Source organism: Homo sapiens, chromosome 12 (genome assembly GCF_000001405.40).
Source record: "Homo sapiens chromosome 12, GRCh38.p14 Primary Assembly".
Taxonomy (NCBI): Eukaryota; Metazoa; Chordata; class Mammalia; order Primates; family Hominidae; genus Homo; species Homo sapiens.
The window spans coordinates 63793319-63807286 of NC_000012.12; the positions used below are offsets into that span (position 1 = coordinate 63793319).

Sequence of the window (13968 nt, forward strand, 5' to 3'; positions counted from 1 at the left end):
AATCGTGTGATTTTTCAGGGTTATGTTTACTACTTAGTGAATTTTAGGCACAGGGTGCACAGTGCATGTATACACTTGAAGGGTTCTCTGATGCTTTTGCTTACACAAACTAAATTAATAGCCCCCCTTCTGCTATACTCATAATTATGAAAAAAAGAGTGAAGTGCTGCAATAAAAGCATACCTGATGCATGAAATTATAATAGAAGCAAATAAAAAAGAAAACTTTTTCTCCCCTAAATTAATATATAATATTTCTACAATAGAAATTCATCTCTTGGTGATACATTTAGGAGATTTTATATACTTAGGAAACTAAAATTGCCTTTAGCTACAGGTAAGCTGCCTAAATAGTAGTAGAAATGGAGAGAAGTGGGGTGAAAAACAAATATTTATGACCAAAAGGAATAAAAACTTAGCTGTCTTTGAAAAGATAAATTTGATTCACATAGGATAGTATTATATTATTTTCTCTTCAGAACACAATTTGTCATAGAATGGATCATAGTCTGAATGAACACTGAATAATTTTTTTAGGTTAATCGCCCTTACCTAAAAAGAACTTTGGGATACATAAAAATTAGAACATCAAGTAAACAACTTCTTACAATACTGAAGCCTACTTAATAAGAGAAATGCCGTTGCTTGAATCAGCCATCGGCTGATGACTCATCTCTTAAAGTAGGCCTCAACTACCGAGCAAAGAGATCCTTGCTTGGAGGGTTATGTATAATATAAGAGAAAGGAGGTTGCCATCTTGTAGCCTTTAAGTGATAACTTTTCGTGTTACTGGTACACTCCAGTAGGATTCTCTGGGGCCAGCTAAATCCACCTGGCATGAATTTCAAAATGCCCCATCATAAGGTAGTCTATTCACAGTTGGAGGTCTAGCCCTTACTCCCATTTCCTCTCTCTATTGATGTGTAGCTGTTGTAGGACACTCAGATCTCTATTATAGTCCACTGTGGTCTGTTCATTACCCAAGGAAATGGTTTCTCCACAGTTCTTGTTCTCAGTTTCTTACTAAGTTGTCAGTCACATTGCTTAAAACTTTGACCACCAAAATATCATTGCTCCCTAGCTTTGGAAAATGTATTTATAATTCTTCAAAAATTAAAATATTAAATAAATTGAGAGATCCATTAATTCATTTCTACCAAATAATTGTTGAGCACCTCCTAATGTTTAATTTCTCCTTTCCTCCTTCCTAGTCTACGGAAATGGGCATTAGTGTCTCCTTGCAAACTCAGACAAACTAATAGCTGAAGGGGGTAGTGGATTTATTTGTAAAGTTATTAATTTATGTACTGCTTGGAGCAACAAAAGTAATATCTTATTCCTAAAGGGCCTTTTGACCGGGCATGGTGGCTCACTCCCATAATCCCAGCACTTTGGGAGGCCAAGGCAGCAGGATCACTTGAGCCTAGGAGTTTGAGGTCAGCCTGGGCAACATAGTGAAACCCCATGATTTTTCATTTAAAAAAAAAATTAAAAATAAAACAGAGGGCCGTTCCATAGTTTTCATTGTAGCAGAATAAATAAATATCTAATTTGTCAGCAAAATATGTGAAAGCAAGATCTTATGATAACCTCACCTGGGAAGTAAGAAATATATGTATTTTGGTATGTTAATGTATGGGTGACAGAACAAGCTGCAGAGGAGACTAATAATTTATTTTTAAAATATCAAAATATAGGCTGGGCATGGTAGCTCCCGCCTGTAATCCCAGCACTTTGGGAGGCCAAAGCAGGCAGATCGTTTTGAGCTCAGGAGTTTGAGACCAGCCTAGGCAGCATGGCGAAACTGTATCTCTACAAAAAACACAAAAATTAGCACCTGTCGTCCCAGGTACTTGCGGGGCTGAGGTGGAAGGATAGCTTGAGCCTGGGAGGTCAAGGCTGCAAGTGAGCTGTGATCACGTGACTGCATTCCTGCCTGGGCGACAGTGAGACCCTGTGTCAAAAAAAAAGAAGAAGAAGAAGAAGAAGAAGAAGGGCCAGGCATAGTGGCTCACACCTGGAATCCCAGCAGTTTGGGAGGCTGAAGTAGGAGGATTGCTTCAGCCCAGGAATTCAAGACCAGCCTAGGAAATATGGTGAAACCCTGTCTCTACAAAAAACAGAAAAACTTTGTGCGTGGCAGCACAAACCTGTAGTCCCAGCTACTAGGGAGGATCACCTGAGCCTGCGAGGTCAAGGCTGCAGTGAGCCTAGATCACACCACTGCACTCCAGCCGGTGACAGAGCAAGACCCTGTCTCAAAAAAAAAAAAAAAAAAGTATTAAAATATAAAAGTTGGGCTATTTCTGTGTTTATAACACCTTTCCTTAATGAGAGGTGAATTTATAGGCTGTGTCTTCAAAATGTATAATAATTGAACCCAATATTAAATATAATACCAGACTCATTTCTCCTCTATTTGAGCATTTATCTCTATGAACTTTAATCTATAGCCATTTAAACTGCTAATATTTAAATATACCCAAATTATTTCCTGTAAAATTATGGGAAATTATTGTTTTTTAATATTTTAATTTTTTAACTTGTTCTTTTTGAAATAATTTTAGACTTAACAAAAATATTGCAAAAATGGTACCAAAAAAATCCATTACACCTTTCATCCAGATTCCTCAAATGCTAACATCTTACATAATTACCGTATAATTATTTTTTTCAGGAAAATAACATTGATACAAAACTGTTATCTAATTTACAGATACACACATTCCCACTACTGTCCATTTTCTGGCCCAGTTTCCAATCCAGAATCACACGGTGTGCTTGGTTTCATATCTCTTTGGCTTCAGCCAGTCTGTGACAGTTTCTCAGTCTTTGTTGACCTTGTGACTTATGAAGAGTACTGCCCATGTATTTTGTAGAACGTCCTTTAGTTTGGGTTTGTCTGATGTTTCCTTACAGTTCAGTTCAGGTTATGTATTTTGGTTCCGAATACCTCAGAAACAACATCGTGTCATCCTCAGTGTGTCATATTTGTTCCCGTTACTGATTATGTTAACTTTGATCACTTGGCTAAGGTGCAGTCTGCCTAGTTTGTTCACTGTAAAGTTACTGTTTTTTTCCATTGTGATATTTACTAGGAGATTCTCTGGGACCATGTAGATAACCTGTTTTTCAATATGATTACAAGGTCCCACAGTATCTCCCTTTCACCCACAAATGTTAGCATCCATATAAATACCCAAAGACAAATAAAGAGATAAATGCCATTCATTGAATCAGTCATCAGCTGATTATTCATCTCTTAAATTAGGCCTCATCTTCAGAGCAAGGAGTAAAATGTTTAGTAGTCTTAAACGTTTTGATTTTAAGAAACAAAAGTAAAAGGAGCACATCATTTGAATATGATGAATTATTTTGGAACAAAGAATTAAATTGTTTGTTATATGCAAATAAATACATAAAAAACAACCAAGAAAACCTCATAAAAATCCCCAGAATCACTGGATAAAAATTTAAAAATAAAGAAAGTGCAATCCCAATAAGACTTTAATGTTGACCATTCATTAGGAAAAAAGCCTACTGCAATAGTCCTGTCGATAAAAAAAAGAAGAAATTGAGAAAATAAAAAAGCCAACTATTAGAAGAATTTAGGGCCTAAAGAAAATTATATTTCTTTTTCTTTTTCTTTTTTTTTTTTTTTTTTGTGACAGAGTCTTGCTCTGTCATCCAGGCTGGAGAGCAGTGGCACGATCTTGGCTCACTGCAACCTCCACCTCCTAGGTTCAAGCAATTCTCCTGCCTCAGCCTCCCAAGTAGCTGGGATTACAGGCACCTGCCACCATGCCCAGCTAATTTTTGTATTTTTAGTAGAAATGGGGTTTCACCATGTTGGCCAGGCTGGTCTCGAACTCCTGACCTCAGGTGATCCACCTGCCTCAGCCTCCCAAAGTGCTGGGATTACAGGCGTGAGCCACCATGCCCAGCCTCATAAATTATTTTCATACCATATAGAAAGCATAATGATAAGAATATGCATACTCTACCATGTTTATTGTTATGGAAATACAGAAGAAAGGCAATTAACTCAATCTAAGTAGAGTTAGGGGTGTGGGGCCTATCAACAAATGTTTTCTAAAGGAGGTGATAGCTGAGCAGTCTTTAAAATGAGTAGAAGTTAGCAAGGCAGAAAAAAGATTATATTCCCAGCAGAAGTGACATCAGAGGTTCATAAGTGATAAACTTGGGTTTATGCATGGAATTGCAAACCAATCAATATTCCTAGAGCATGAAGAAAAGGTAAGGTAGCTGAGATGGGGAGGATTGAGCAAGGGCCAGATCATGGTGGGCCTTGTATGTACCACATTAAGGCTCTTGGACTTTATTCTAGGGTAGTGAAAAGCAATTGAGGATGATTAAGCAGGATAGTGGTATTGTCATGTGTTTATGTGTGTAGATTTCTTTAGCAGCCATGGGGGAAAGTGATTTGAAGGAGACAGCTGGGTGCAGGCAGACCAAGTAGGAGATTGGAAGTATCCCACAGAGATAAAACTAATGGATGAAATAGGGAAGTGGTAGTGGGTCAGAGCCAGGGACAAATTTGAGAAATATTTAGGAGCAAAATGGTCGGAATTTAGGGATTAATTAGATGGGAAGATGAGAGAGGGAAACAAATCTGAGAAGTCCCTAGTTTCTAGTTTGCATGAGTAGGTAGCTAATGTGACACAAAAATAGAAAATACAGAAATAGCAAATCTGTCCACTCTTCTCTAGCCCACCACCCAACATCTACCTATCTCCTCTTTCTCAGCAGACAACCCTGCCTCCTCTTTCATCAGGAAAATTGAGGACATCATAATTATCTCTCTTAACTAGCTGCTGTAACATGTACCTACTCTCTGTCTGGTCCCTCACCCATCCTTATCTCTTTCCAAGCTCTCAAACATTGAGTGATCTTTCCTGGCTCAAGGTTAAAGCCCACCACCTGTGCATCCCACCTGCTTCTAGGACCTTGTTCCATGCATTACTTCCTTGCTTTCCTTTATTCTCCACTTCATTCATTATTGCTTTATCACCTTCTCTTCAAAACTTTCAGAATCCTTGTCTATACTCACTGTAATCACTTCCTTACTTCTCAACCCATTGCAGTTTGACTAACAAACTTTCCAACACACATATGTACATACATACATACAACCCAGGTATCTGAATCAAATGAAATTTTTTGGGCCCTTAAAGTTTCTTCTTTTAGATCTGTGGTTCCTTGACGGAGGCACTGTGGGACATCACCAAATATTTTAAATATTTATGGGAAACACTGATACTTGATATCTTTCAGGCCCTATGCAAACTGCAAGTTCAAAGCAGTACAGTTTCAACATTAGATTACCCTGCATTTATTTGAACAATATCAGGACTTTGTGAAGCTGGGTTTTCCATGGTTGCCGTGATAAAATGCACGCACTGCACAAAAATGAGTGTGGAACAGGAAATGACACTGACAGTGTCCACTGATTCCAAGGTTTGAGAAGTTCTATAGTGCTCAACAGGTGCACACATGCTATTAAATATTTGTGATTAGTTAAGAATGAAATAGGAATATGAGTTTTTCTTTCAGTGTCTGTGTATTTTTTTAAGTCACTTTTAAGCTGTTAGGACATAGATACTTATTAGGTTGTTTAGACCTAATGACTTTAAAAATTGAACTGTTAAGCATTTCTTTTAGCTTGGGAGACACTGAAAAATTTACAGGAACACTAAAGGTGCTAAGAATCTCTGACCTACACCTTGGCTTCGCAGTATTGACCCCATGGCTTTCACCATTACCAAAACACAGGGAGTTGTGGACATCCAAGACCAAGACAGTATAAATGTGCCCTTGAATGAATCATACTTCATTTTGTTAATTTGTGTGGATCACTAAAATTAGAAAGATATTCCTTTCACATGAAAGTTACATTTGAGAATAGCTTCATATATTTTATTTTAATACATTGACTAAAACCTACTTTGTTTTTCTTTTCTTTTCTTTTTTTTTTTTTTTTTTTTTTGAGACAACGTTTCATTGTTACCCAGGCTGAAGTGCAGTGGCGTGATCTCAGCTCACTGCAGCCTTGACTTCCTGGGCTCAAGTGATCCTCCTGCCTCAGCCTGCTGAGTAGCTGCACCACCATGCCCAGCTAATTTTTGTATTTTTTGTAGAGATGGGTTTTCACCATATTGTGTAGGCTGGTCTCGAACTCCTGGACTCAAGCGATCCGCCTACCTCAGTCAACTAAAGTGCTGGGATTACAGGCATGAGCCACCACACCCAGCTGTATGGCACTCTGAAATTGTTTGGGCACATGATATATATGGACTTAATGTCAAATAACCAAATTTGAGTCTGATCTGTACCATTTCCTATCTAGTGTCAGCTAGCTTTATGCAAGTCATAGAACCTCTCTCAAGATTTCCTTTTTTTTCCTTCATAAAATTGGCCTAACATGGGGAAGGAGGACTGGAAGACTTTCTCATGCTCTTAAGAATTATACCTGCTTATATTTCTAAAAGAGAAATACAAAGTATTCGTATGCTACCAATAATAAATATTTTAAACATACCATAATTATCATCATCATTGCTAGTTTTTCTAGCCCCTCAGATTCTGCATATTGTCTTAAATTACTAGGTTATCACTGAATCATTAGTCATTGCCAGTGCTAGATACTGTCCAAGGCAAACATAGTCCTCAAAACATAGTCCTGGTCCCTGTATGTTATATAATTTTAGAATAATGTCATATAAATCATATGGTACATGCACACATAGTAAAATATATTTTTACGTTTTGTGCTTTAACTAATATCTGTTTAGTATTTGTTAACCATGGAGTTATGGAAAAACTTAAGCTCTGAAGTGAGACAGAACTTTGTTGAGAACTCGTCATTGCCATTACAAGCTGACAGCTAAAGTGCAATTTCACAAATGCCAATGAGAGAATAATGAACTCCTCAGAGTTGTTGGGGGGGTTAATGATGACCCATGCAAAGTGCTTATGTATCATGTATATAAAAGGCGTTGAACAAATGTTTTTATCCCCAGCAGTAAGAAGCAATGAAAGTAGGCTTTGGGTATATTTGTGCTGAAAATTAGATTCTATCAGGATATAAAGAAATGGTTTAAGCAAGTTGTAAAGAATCTAGGATAAGAGTGACTAATTTTAAGATGAATTAAATGGTACTTGTTCTATTTAATACATACTAGTGAAAATATTTCAATGGTACTGGTTGTTCTAGGCAGCACTTAATATGAAAAAAATGAGTTATGATACATGTCTATTCCTTTAATGAAAACTTTTTAAAAATACAGTTAAAAAGAGAGTAGGCTGAGCACAGTGGCTCATACCTGTAATCCCAGCACGTTGGAAGGCCAAGGCAGGTGAATCACTTGAGGTCAGGAGTTCAAGACCAGCCTGGCCAACATGGCAAAAACCCTGTCTCTACTAAAAATACAAAAATTAGTTGGGCATGGTGGCACGCACCTGCAGTCCCAGCTACTCAGGAGCTGAGGCACAAGAATTGCTTGAACCCAGGAGGCAGAGGCTGCTGTGAGCTGAGATCATGCCACAGCACTCCAGCCTGAGCAACAGACTGAGACTCTGTCTCAAAAAAAAAAAAAATGGTAATACAACACATTCCCATTTACTCACCATTCAAAACTAACAAATTTCAGCTCTCTGTCATATTTGCTTCAGATATTTAATTTTCCTGTTAAAAAAATTAAATACTTTCAATAAGGGTAAAGCTCCCTTTGTACTGTTTTCTAGTCCCTTTCATCTTCCTTCCTCCTCAGATACAATTGCTATCATAAATTTGATGTGGATCCTCCCATTCAAATTTTTATATTTATACTGATCCTAAATATATATGTGTAAATAATTTTTATGACTGTACTTTCAAGTTTATGTATATTTTGTGAGTGTCCTAATCCTTGCTTTTTTTAACATTATATTTTTGAGATATAACATTCATGGAATGTTTATAATGCCATTCTTCGTTTCTTAATTTGTCAGCACTTTCTCATCCATTGAGTCAGATGAAGAGTGTAATAGCAGCTCACACCATAAAAGGGTTGAGAACTACTGACTTTAAATGCCTTTCTGGTTTGAACTAAACCATTATTTTACAGAGTTCCATGCTATTCAATTATATTTCTTTGCTTAAGAGTTTAAATTCTAGCCAGCATTTATTTTCAGTGTGGTTAAAACAACAACAGAAAAAAAGGTCAGGCATGGTGGTTCATGCCTGTAATCCCAGTACTTTGGGAGACTGAGGTAGGTGGATTGCTTCAGCCAAGGAGTTCAAGACCAGCATGGGCAACATGGTGAAACCCCATCTCTACAAAAAAATACGAAAAATTACCTGTGTGTAGTGGTGCACACCCGTAGTCCCAGCTACTCGGGAGGCTGAGGTGGGAGGATCACCTGAGCCAGGGAAGTTGAGGCTGCAGTGAGCCAAGATTGCACCACTGCACTCCAGCCTGGGCCACAAGAGTTGAGACCCTGCCTCAAAAAAAAAACAAAAAAACACAAAACTATCACATTTTGTATTATCATATGCAAATTGATCTGCCTACAGCCAAAGCTTACCATTAATCTACAGCTATGCCCCATCATTCAAACTTGTTCAAAAGATTGTATTATAGAAATTTTACTTCTAGATAGAATGTGGATTAAATCTCATTGTAGATTTTGTATAAAATGATGAATTTCTGATACCACATACCTTTGTTCAGGCTTTGTTTGTCTCTTGTTTTTGTTGTGTTGTTTTTAACAGCTTCATCACTGGTCCAGCTGTAATACCAGGGTACTTCTCCGTTGATGTGAATAATGTGGTACTCATTTTAAATGGAAGAGAAAAAGCAAAGATCTTTTATGCCACCCAGTGGTTACTTTATGCACAAAATTTAGTGCAAATTCAAAAACTCCAGCATCTTGCTGTTGTTTTGCTCGGAAATGAACATTGTGATAATGAGTGGATAAACCCATTCCTCAAAAGAAATGGAGGCTTCGTGGAGCTGCTTTTCATAATATATGACAGCCCCTGGATTAATGACGTGGATGTTTTTCAGTGGCCTTTAGGAGTAGCAACGTAAGTACAAAATATGATTAAACATTTTTAGGCCCTAACACCTGAATTTCTGAACCAGGAAGACTTATTCAAAATTGTAATAAATTTAGTTCTTCTGGGATTATTGAGGCCAGGTACAGTCTTTCTCAGAGATAAAAACAGGGTGTGGTCGCATCCTTCAATAACAATTATGATGTTTTTAAGAGTATTTTATTCTTTAATGAGGAGATGAGTTACTTTTTTTCTTTTAAAACCCCAAGGCATAGAATGGATTTTTCAAGCTTATTAGGAGTGCCATAAAAATATATTTAGCAGAGAAATGGCAGATAGATTTTTTTAAAAACAATGATAGTATCTATATATAGTAAAAAAAGGCAATATTATTATATCAGGAATATACCGTACCATTGTGTTTGAGACTGGCTGAATTTATACAAATCTCTTCTATAAAAGGAGGGATTAATTAAATGATAGCTAAGGTTTCTCAAGATACAGTCTTTTAGGCCAGGCGCAGTGGCTTACTGCCTGTAATCCCAGCACTTTGGGAGGCCAACTAGGCAGATTGCTCGAGTCCAGGAGTTCAAGAGCATCCTGGGCAACATGGCAAAACCCTATCTCTAAAAAAAAAAAAAATCAAAAATTATCCGGGCATGGTGACATGGACTCCTGTATGGCGCCTCTAGTCCTAGCTACTCATGAGGTTGAGGTGGGAGGATCACTTAAGCCCAGGAGATTGAGCTGAGATTGTACCACTGCACTCTAGCCTGGGCAACAGAGTGAGATGAGACTGTCTCACCAAAAAAAAAAAAAAAAAAAAAAAAAAAAAAGATATAGTCTTTCTCCAGCTATAAAATGGAAAACATATATTTTTATCTTTCTGTTAATAGGATGTTTTTAATTAAGAGCAAGTTGACTTTAAGATAAGTTGCCACTAGTATATAAACCTCCTGAGAGCAGGGATTTTTGTCTCTTTTGTTCACTGTTCTATCCACAGAGCCTAAAACAGCACCTGCAGAGTAGGTATTCTGTATTTGTTGAGTGGATAAATTATGAAAAATCTCACTGACATGATTTTTGAATCATACATTCATTATTCATCATTCTGTCCCTGGTTGCGGGATGTGGCCTTAGACTGCTGCCTAGTTAGCGACACAGATGTCACTGGCACATCTGTGCCAGTAATGAGATGTATTCCCAAGCCTACTCCTATAACACCCTAACTCAGTAGGTTTGGGGTAAGGCCAGACAAAAAGGTTCTTGTTAAGTAAAGCCAGGTTTAAGACCCTCTTAAAAATCTATTTTTTGAGCAGAGCCTGCATTTGTAAAATGTTTTCATATAGTATAAGATGGAACCTCTTGGTAATCATGATGTTGTTGCACTAGGCCAGTATATTTCTTATATAGGTCTGTGGTTCTCAACCAGGGGCAATTTTGCCCACCGGGAGGCATTTGGCAGTGTCTGGAGACTTTTTTTTTTTTTTTTTTTTGAGACGAAGTCTTGCTCTGTCACCCCAGCTGGAGTTCAGTGGCACGATCTTGGCTCTCTGCAACCTCTGCCTCCCAGGTTCTAGCCATTCTCCTGCCTCAGCCTCCCAAGTAGCTGGGATTACAGGTGGGCATCACCACTCCTGGCTAATTTTGTATTTTTTATAGAGAGGGGGTTTCGCCATGTTGGCCAGGCTGGTCTCAAATTCCTGACCTCAAGTGATCTGCCTGCCTTGGACTCCCACAGTGCTGAGATTATAGGCATGAGCCACTGTGCCTGGCCTGGAGACGTTTTTGATTGTCACAACTGGAGGAAAGAGGTTGTCACAACTGGTATCTAGCAGATAGAGCCCAGGGATACAGCTGAACACCCCACAATGTATAGGACAGCCTCCACAAGAAAAAATTAACCCAAAATGTCAGTAATGCTGAGGCTAAGAAACCCTGTTATATACAAACTGTTAGGTAAAATTTTGTTCTCGTGTGAAAGTTACATTTCAGGTACACAGTTTAATCCCTGGTATTTCCAAATGCTCATAAAAATAGGTAACTTTTCCTGTATGGCATACCATGGTTTTATCTGTCAGTTTGTTTTAATCTACTTGAAAAGCCCTTGGGATTAATTTTTCAGAGCCCTTTGCAATAGCAAAATATATAATCTTTCCTTTTTTTTAATTGACAAATAGTAATGGTATATGATAATGGGGTACAAATGATGTTTTGAAATATATTTACAACGTAGAATGCTTAAATCAGACTAACAAATCCGTAACCTTATATACTTAACAATTTTTGTGGTAAAAACATAACATCTGCTGTTTTAGCAATTTTGAAATATACAGTGCATTATTATTTATTATAGTCACCCTATTCTGTGTGATAGATCACTAAAGCTTATTCCTCCTGTCCAACTGAAACTTCATACCCTTCGATCAACATCTTCCTTTTCCCCATCCATCTCCCTCCCCTGGAGTATTCTGTAATCTTTTCATCACCTGGTTAAAATGTTGCTTAAATCGTGATCATTATGAATAGAGAAGAGTCTTTATACTTTGAAGGTTTTGAATGTAACATGCCTAACAGCTGCAGATGAGTAATGCAAGTTAAAGAATGTCAAAAACAAATAACTTTAGGCACAACATCTCTGTAACACTTTTGTAAGAGATGTCAGTGTGAAATTCAATTTTTTTAAGTCAGTAGATTCAGGGAGTTTTCCAAAGTATTCATGGAAAATTACAATTTGAGATTTAGAAATCACATTTTAAACCTCTTCTGTATACTTCTTGCTACCTAAGAGATTGGGTTATGGGGAATTTTTGCCAATTCTATATCATATGTTAATTCATGTGTATTTATTTTTATAGATACAGGAATTTTCCTGTGGTGGAGGCAAGTTGGTCAATGCTGCATGATGAGAGGCCATATTTATGTAATTTCTTAGGAACGATTTATGAAAATTCATCCAGACAGGCACTAATGAACATTTTGAAAAAAGATGGGAACGATAAGCTTTGTTGGGTTTCAGCAAGAGAACAGTAAGTTCTATGCTTATTTAATTCATTCATTTTGTTCTCCAGTCTGAGAGTTGCTTTATGTAGAAACACAGGTTTCCAAAGAGGCATTGTTAACTCTATTTGTACCAATCTTTCCCCAGAAGATACATTAGTAATTAAAACTGTGAAAAGACTGGGTTGTACACATTTAGAATAGAGAGAACCGCCTATGACTGTAGTCCATCTTGAAGAGGAACACTGGTAACTGTCATTTGCAAATTTCAGTTGTTAGGGTTTCCTCAATAATATTTGTTAGTCACACAGGAGATTATAGATGCTAATGAGATACTTAGGTTCATCACTGAGATGTTGTGCAGTGGACCAATTCAGTGTTCCAAGACCGGTGTGCAGGTCTCACAAATTCAGGAATTCAGGAACCTGACACCATCTTCAGGACATGGACCTTGTATTCTTCTGTGAATCCCCAGATCTAACATAGGACCTTGCACAAAGTAGACCTAGGATAAATGGTGAGTGGATGAATGGTTGGATAGGGAGACTCAATAGGGTTAAATGTCTTCTTTTATGTAGTAACCAGGAAACAGGTGTTCATGTTGTGAAGGAAGTAAATTTGCAATCATTTATTTTGTTTTTAAATAGACAAATCAAGTTTTCAAATAAACAAAGCATAATGCAGAGTCATCAGGGAAGTAATGCCTTAAAAATGTCCAGTTAGGTCTGGAATTTTACTTTTTAAATTATAGCAGGTACTCTTTATTGCTAATGTAACCATATCATATTCGTTCAGTCAGTGTTTACCAAGCAATTGCTCTATGCCAGAAACTTGTTTACCCACAGTAAATACAGCAGTGAACAAAACAAAGTCCATGCCCTCCTGGCACTTAAATGCTTGTTGGAGTAGACAAGCAAGTAAAATATATTGTGTGTCAGAAGATGATAAATGCCCTGTAAAAAATTAAGCAGAAGAATGGCATAGAAAGAGCTTGGGTGTTGGTGGTGGAGCATTTGCTATTTTGGAATAGCCAAGAAAGGCATTCATTAGAAGGTTACATTTATGCACAGGCCTTAAGAATGTGCATGGGTGAGTCTTGTGTATATTTGGGAGAAGACTATTCCAGACGTAGGGAAGAGCAAAGGCCCTGAGGCAGGCAGGAATGTGCTTACTATGTTACAGGAACAACAGGGCCAGTATGTCTGGAGTGGAATGAATGAGGACAGTGTAAAATAACAAAGGTTATTATGGGAATAATTCTTGTAACTCCTCTCATACCATTGAGCCAGAGGTTTGAGTAGATGTTTTCCTTGTTTCTCATTGTTGCTTCTAGACTATTCTCCCCTTTCCCTCCCTAATAATCCCAATTTTGAAACTCATGTCAGCAGACAAAACCATCCATCACCCTTACTCTCTGAAATCATGCACTTACCCTTGGGTTTCTCCCCCTACTTCTTCGAAGAGTTTAGCTCCTGGTACTCTCTAGCTCTGTCTGACACTACTCTGTTCTCAATTCTTAGTGACTGGCAAATCTACATAGATGGTCTTTCTGTCATTTTGGTCTTTGCAGTTCCTTCACCTCCCCTCCTCCAATAATCTGGGCTTCCACCTGACCTCAGCCATTCTCTCTCATGGTTATTTCCTAGACTTTGTCATTACACATACTGCACCTTCTGAACATGATCTCAAGTCCCAGCATCTCTTTCTACAACCACCATCATCTGTCATTCCAGCTCATTCCGTGTAATAATCTGACTCTGACAATTCAGCTGGCACTTAGAATCTATTGTTCCTACTACCCTTTTGTTGTCCTTCACTCCCCTTTCTTCATTTTATTCTTCACCTAACTTAAATTTCATTGTCAATCATAATTGCCTATACCTTCAGCTCCCTAATTCCCTAATCTGGCAA

The 13968-nt window shown here is 37.8% G+C and overlaps 1 protein-coding gene across 4 annotated transcripts in view; it reads left to right on the top strand.

Moving 5' to 3' along the window:
* Window positions 1-13968, top strand: part of RXYLT1 (ribitol xylosyltransferase 1) — a 29654-nt gene that overhangs the window by 13410 nt on the left and 2276 nt on the right. For 3 of the 4 annotated variants that reach the window (NM_001278237.2, NM_014254.3, XM_047428078.1), the window contains 2 exons: window positions 8773-9087; window positions 11916-12086. In NM_001278237.2, coding sequence (NP_001265166.1) covers window positions 11953-12086 — 134 coding nt within the window. In that variant the 5' untranslated portion in view covers window positions 8773-9087; window positions 11916-11952. Of the gene's footprint in view, window positions 1-8772; window positions 9088-11915; window positions 12087-13968 lie in introns of those variants that run through there. The other variant, XM_047428079.1, reaches the window with a different exon arrangement.